This window comes from Homo sapiens, chromosome 6, assembly GCF_000001405.40.
Source record: "Homo sapiens chromosome 6, GRCh38.p14 Primary Assembly".
Lineage (NCBI taxonomy): Eukaryota > Metazoa > Chordata > Mammalia > Primates > Hominidae > Homo > Homo sapiens.
Genome location: NC_000006.12, coordinates 81,780,399 through 81,788,005, shown reverse-complemented (window position 1 = coordinate 81,788,005; position 7,607 = coordinate 81,780,399).

Sequence of the window (7,607 nt, the reverse complement as noted above, 5' to 3'; positions counted from 1 at the left end):
AGGTATTAGGAAACCTGGATCTTCCCCTAATTAGTTGTTTGCCCTTTTGTGAGTCATTTAGACCTTCTGACTGACCTCCACTCCTCTCTGCTCTAAACTGGGATTAACAGTTTATGCTCTCTGCAAACCTCTTAAGGTTGCTGCCAGTTTCAAAGCAATATTTGTAAACCAAAATATACTCTACGAATTCAGGGTATTATGAACCTTAAATAGCTAAGCTCTGTGTCAAAGTTTTGTTCTTAAGGCATCATATTTCTCTGAGTAGAAGTGTGTGAGCTATAATACTATGCTGCTACTATCAAACAGCCAATTTTGTCTTTCAATGGTTTTAAATATCAGCCTGAGATTGAAGAAAATAAAAATGGACAGACCTGTTGGGTTTTTATTTTCAGATTCAGCCTGAGAATCACAGTTTCTGGGACTGAGTAAATACTACTTATGCTTGTCTAGGAGTAGAGTCAATTCAAATGGCACTATGTCAACTTTGTTAACGTCATCAGCCACAGACTTTTTCTTATGCTGCCAATAATACAATTTATTGCTGTTTTTAAAAAAGTTATAGGACTACCATTTTCTTTTCCTGCTAAAGTTTTCCTTGTCATTCTGATTCTTTGAGGTAAAATGAAGAACTGGGGAGGACCTGTTTTGGGGAGACATTTAAAGGAGCAATGTTGGTCATTGTTAGATAAATGACAGGACTTGCCTCATACAGTAAAATGTAAACAAATATTTGAAGTTCTTTTGAAACCGACATGAATGAATTTTGAACAAGGCAAAATAGTAATAGCCACTGGGCAAGAAAAAAATATTAGAAAGCGCACACACAAAAAATCACACAAGGATGTGTGTCTGAGTAAAGAAAGCAAAAAGCATCTTGAATAAAGTAAATACAGTAAAAACAAAAAGGAAATTGCATTGACACAATCACTCTGGTATATAATTTGAAAATATTATCAATTTCCTAAAAATGAAACTGAAACTAAAGCACTGAAATATCAAGTAGCAGTGAATATTTTAATAATATCTGCCTCAGAAAATGTAAAAACATAAAATTTTAGGCATCGGAGCAACAGCTGAAGACTAAATGCAAAATGAGACGAATTATTTTAGAAAAGCCAATTAAAAAGTAAATCCATTTTGCTGTCTACATAACTCATCTTCCCCAGAAAGCATAAATGTCAAAATTTTAATAAATCCTATTAAAACAATTCTTCAAGTTGCCATTTTGCTACACAGAGGGTCATAGACATTCCAAGCTTCTATATACATAAACTCTATCGTAGTACCCATTGTCCTGTTGTGTATTGCAGACTTGCCCATGTGAGCCATCAGACAGACAGATTATAAAATGTCCCGCAGAGAAGGCAGCTCTGGTCTAACATTCAACTCTTTATGGTAGCTAGGAACACCTTAACAGAAGTCCCTTCTGTCAGAAGGCTACTCAAGGTGGTGGGCCCAAGGAGATGTCCTTATTATTCCCTGAAATGGTTCAGTGGAAAGATAACTTGATTCAGATTCAGAACCTGGGTCTGAGCTCCAACACTGACACCACAAGTGGAATGACCTCAGGCAACTCACCAAATTTCTCAAGGCTGGGCTTTGTTCATCTGTGAGTTGTGAATAATAATAGCCTAACTCATAGGATTGATGTGAAAGTCAGACGAAACACAATGTATCTGTGAATGTGCTTGGTAAACCATGAAATGCTAATAAATGCATGGCATATATAGTTCCTGACAGAGTAGTTCAAGTACAGTACTTGCTTTGATTTCACAGAATTACTTAGATGAAAAACTCAGTGAAGTGTGAGCACTTCTGCTCCCTCTTTTTGTACAATGGATTTCATGTTAATTAGTTCTAACCAGCTCCATGTTGGGGAGAAATGCATTTAACTTTGGAAACTGCCCCATATGATATTACAAATATTAACTGCCTCCACATTGTTTTCACTGCTGGGATTACCGCCCTGTGCAATAAGCAGTAGAAGCGGCATAATGCCATTATGCGTATCTAGATGGTGTCGAGACAGTGGCCACACTTTCACATCACTTTCTACCAGATTTCCATACATCTGCCCCTGCCCCAGCCAAGACTATTTGCTTTCTACCTTTCTCATACCACTTGATTGTTTCCACTTCTATGTTTTTAGAAGCTGTTTAACTTCACGTTATCCTCATTTTTCTACATGGATGTATTGCTCTTACCATCTTAAAGATCTACCTTTCTGGAAACCTTGCATGGTTGATCCCATTCTGCTTTCTTAATTCTAACTTCAATGCCACTTAATAGAGAGTTGTGCAAGACCCCATATTTCAGTAGATGTTAATGGAGTTTCAGGATAGTGTATGCAACTAAGAGTGGGTGTACATAATGAGGGTGGATCAATTCAGTCACTTCATCGCAGCTTTCAAAAAAAAAAAACAGAAATGCAAAACTGGTCCATCCAGTTTCCATTTATGAAGAGAAACTGCCATGAATCAGATTATAAGTGATGTTTGTCTCAGTTTCTTTCACACTCCAACTTAATGTGTGTATGCCTGAGTGTATATATGTATGTTTGTGTATTTGTGACCTTCTCAGCAGCTTAACTCAATTGCTTAATCCGTACAGCATAGAGAAAATTCATTAGATAGGAAATTGTAGTCTGTGCTGCCGTTAATTTGCCAAATTAATTTTCCAAAGCTCAATCTCTCCTGTAAATTGAGTATGTCACACTAGCTGATCCAGAAGGTCCCTCTAAGCATATATGACTTGTAGACGGGAGAAATCTGTAATATATCTATGCTAGGTCATATCAGAAAAATACCTTGCCATTCTCTGCCATGCCATTCACAGTGAGTTTAAAGTTGCTATACTTTATATGAATGTTATTGTATAGACAGAAAAGAAAATGAAATAAAGGGAAGGAACATGGAAAATATGCTTCTCTCTTCTAGGCTTTTTCAGTGGGAGTATATTGAGGACTGACGTAGTAAGTCCAAATGTTACAGCTTGTTCCTGAGTCTGGTGCCACTAGAAGCCTTGCAGAGGAGTGCAGTCTCCTCCATGATTAAGTTCCAGATACCTAACGGCCTACTGCCCTGCACCAGTCTGAGTCCCAGAGTCTCCAGATCCAACAACTACACTAATTAAAAAGGCTCTTTTATTCTGTAGTAATTGTTTGGCTCACTCAGACTGTGCTAGAGCTTTGGAATGGAGTAGGAAGCTGTACAGGTAGCTCCCTGTAGCAGCCCTAAAGTGGAGTTAGGTCTACTGACTACTGCTGCTGCTGCCCTAGGCAACCTGACCCAGGGTTCCAGATCATCAGGTACAAAGAACAGCATCCTGAGTCCAAAATCAAATTACTCCTTTGATTAAAATACTCCAATGGATCTGTAAGCAGTTGATGGATAACCTGGGAACTTTGAAACTTTCATCGACTTTCTAAGGAGAACCAATATGCTATGTGTCATACTGAATAAATGCTTAGTATTTATTGAATTACTAAACCAGACTAAATAACATTTTAAAGAAAGTTTTCCACAAGCTGTGATGATAAGTCAAAATCAGGAAGTTAAAATTATATGGAAATAAGCATCAAGATCTATTCTTAGGTTGACAGTAATTTAAAAAAGATTTTATGTTTGTATAATTACAGATTGCAAATCATTTATACATATTTAGTTCATTTAATGACTGCCAAAAATGCCACATTTCTATATTAGGATATTCTTATGATATTCCTATAAAGATTTTTTTTTAATAAAGTGTGACACAGACAGTATAAACAACTTTCCTGAAGTCACATATCTAGTAAATTGCCAATTGAAATCAAAGTCAGTCTTCCAATTTTAAGTCCTAGGCTCTAAATTGCTGCATGCAGCTAAGGGACTATTTGTTTAGTCCCTGCTATCTCTTAATCCACTATCAGTACCAATCCTTTGTGTTTAGATAGAGGGAGCCCCGGCTTCATTAAAATACCTTTGGAGAGCAGCAATCTTTCTTACCTTCATGAAAATACATCATCTAGAACAAGACTAACCGTCCTACTCAACTGTGTATTGGCCAGGCCATATCTAGAGCATACTCTTTTGAGTATTACATTGAAAGATTTGAGATTTATGAAGAGTCAGAAAGTGGAAAGCTGAGGGAGTTTAGTCTAGTGGTTAAAGTTTTTAAAACTATGTCTTACAAGGAGCAATTGAAGAAATTTGGGTGTTCAGCCTAGAAAAAGGAATATGGGGGTTGAGGTGGGGTAATATATAGGCAGAGAAAATATATTTATTGTCTGGTCTGAAGGCTATTACATCAGAGGGATGAGACGTGTAGCTCTAGAGGCCAAAATAGCACTGGTGAAGAGAAGTTATAAAAAGGCCATTTAAAAATTCAATATAAAGGAAAATTTCAAAAAGTAAAAATCACTAAAAAATTCAATACATTTTCTTGTGAGGTGTAACTTGTAAATGATCAAGCAAAGATGAGTAGACCATTTTCTGAGGATGATATAGACATGATTAGCACTAGGTAGGAGGTTGAAATAAACACTCTTTAAGACCTTTTCTAAGGGCCTCTAAGATTCTATGATTTAATCTTTCTCAAAAATAATTAAGCTTAAACAGAGGACAAAAAACACATCTGTTCTCGTAACCCACCTTTCTAGTAGTATCTAGGTTCCACTATCAGTGCCAATCATTATCCCAAAATTTAGCAGCTTAAAACCTGTATCTTGTGTGTCAAGATTATGGGGAGACCTCTACATTGTTTAGTGCTTAACTGGGAAGACTCCATAGCTGCTGTGGGAGTGGAGGAGAACTTGATGGCTGAAGGCTGGAATTTTCCAAAGCTGTGCTGTCCAGTAGAGAAGGCAATAATCACACATTGCTACTGAGTGCTTGAAATGTGTCTAGTCTGAATTGAGTTGTGCTCTAAGTTCAAAACACACACACACACACACACACATACACAGACACACACACACACACACACACATCCACTATTTCAAAGACTTTGTATGGCAAATAAAATAAATTAAGCTATCTTGTTAATAATTCATATATTGATTATATGTTGAAATAATACTCTTTTAGATATAATGGGTAAAGTAAAATATATTAACAACATTAATTTCACTCATTTTATTTAATTTTTAAAATATGGCTAATAGAAAATTTAAAACTTCATATGTGATTAATATATTCTTATTGAACATGGTTTATCTCATGGTATTGTTCATTGATGTATACTGTGGTTGATGCTGGCTATGGACTGGCACTTCAGCTGGTGATATGGTTTGGCTGTGTCCACACCCAAATCTCATCTTGAATTGTAGTTTCCCAAATCCCCATGTGTCGTGGGAGGGACCAGATGAAGGTAATTGAATCATGGGGGCATTTTCCTCATCCTATTCTCATGATAGTGAGTTAGTTCTTTTGAGATCTGATGGTTTTATAAAGGGCTTCCCACTTCACTGGGAAGTGATTCTTCTCTCTCCTGCTGCCATGTGAAGAAGGATGTGTTTGCTTCCCCTTCCACCATGATTGTAAGTTTCCTGAGGCCTCTCTAGCATGTACTGAACTGTGAGTCAATTAAACCTCTTTCCTTTATAAACTACCCAGTCTCAGATGTGTCTTTTTTTAGCAGAATGAGAACACACTAATACAGCCGGGCAATTGATGGGAACACCAACATGTGGTCTTTTCATGTGGCTTAAGCTTCCTCCTAGCACGGTGGTCTCAAGAGAGTTGAAATTTTTATATGATGGGAGAAGACTCCAAAAACAACCTTTCCAGTGAGCAAGGTGAAAGCTGCATTGGCTTTTTTGACTTAGGCTTGGAAGTCATGAAGTCATGTTGCATCAATTTGCTGTGTTCCATCTGTTATCAGCAAATCATAACCCTGCACAGATTCAAGAGTAAGAAACACATTGTAGTAGAACACGTGGAACACAAGCTGTTGTTGCAGACATCTTGGAAAATATAACCTTCCACAACTTATTACCAACATAGACCAACAGAGTTATGGAATCTCCTTCTTAAGATTAAAAGGGCCATTTCTGAAGTCTAAGTAAGTCCTGGATTGTGAGATTGGAGTTCTTCTAAAGACACCCTCAAGTCTTACAATTAAGCAAGGATATACTTTAGGAATGTCACTGATAGTCATTTTTAAGCGGGGATGCAATTGAAAGGGCAAACTGTCCTCTAAGAGTTTTAAAAGCTGCCTACATGCTAATAAAACAATCATGATTCCAGCTTCCGGGTCACAGAGTTGAATCACACAACACAGAATACTCCCAGTTTTTTTTTCTTTTTTCTTTTGGTTTATTTATAGTTAACCAATAAGAAGTGTATTCCTAATTTCTGAGAGGTACATGTTCAAAACTGACTGGCACAAATCTTTCCTTTTTCCAAATGTTTTAATTTTTTTTCTTCATTTAAGTTCAGCCTTTTGAACGTCATTTAACAATTTATATACAATATGATGTGAAGATGTATTATGTATGTCCATTTAGGAATAAATGATTTTTGTCACAAGCATAAAATTCTTTTATGAGGTTATTTATTTAGCATAATCACCCTGTATTTGCTTTTTAAGAATGGGTTATGGCTGGGAGGGATGTGTGAAGCTGCCCCCAGAGCATAACGTATCTTGAAGGTTAAATCAGAATTTGACTTTAATCAAACAAATGTAATTGGCCCAGAGGGCCTAGTAAAGATGGAATTCCGGAAATGAGTGACTGTTGGTTTTTGTGTGTTTTCTTCCTTAAATATTAATAGGAACTGTCCATGTAGAGTTAGTTCAGAAAATCAGTTTGCATTCTTTTCTTTAAGCTTCCTCTTTAGAGTTTTGATTTCTCAGATGATTTGCACTTTGATATTAATTTGGTAATAATTATTAATTCATTTATAATGAATTTAATTAGTTATCAATCATTGAATAACCATAATTTAATTCTAATTTGCAATTTAATATTAAATAATCCTCAGAGTGTCAGTGCCTGAGTCCATTACATTCCCCTAGGTTATAAGTGGAAAGTGCTGTCCTGCAGCACCTTTTGATATGCCTCATCGAAAGATGATTTGATGAGCAGTTAATTAAACTGAGCAATAGAAGAGGAGAGATTACAAAATAACTACAACAATATATAAAACCAAAAGTAGAAGCAAACAAGCCAGCATTATTTGCAAATGTTAACAGAATTCTGCACTGCCTTCTAATTCCAACTGGCATTTTATTCCTCTTCATACAGCAACTATTGAATGGTTTCCCTATTCCTTCAGAATGGTGGCTAGATTCACATGCTTGAGAAGCACACAGATGTGGACTGGATTTTATGGCACACACAGAGGAAGTTCAGCTCTTCTAACATTTGCTTTCTAAATAACGAAGGCTCTTGAAAGAAATCATAAAACAGAAAATAAGTTCTAATGCTTTTACCAAAGGATGATTTTTTTTTTTTTTTTTTTTTTGAGATGGAGTCTTGCTCTATCACCTAGGCTGGAGTGCAGTGGCACGATCTCGGCTCACTGCAAGCTCCGCCTCCCGGGATCAAGCCATTCTCCTGCCTCAGCCTCCCGAGTAGCTGGGACTACAGGCACCCGCCACCACGCCTGGCTAATTTTTTGTATTTT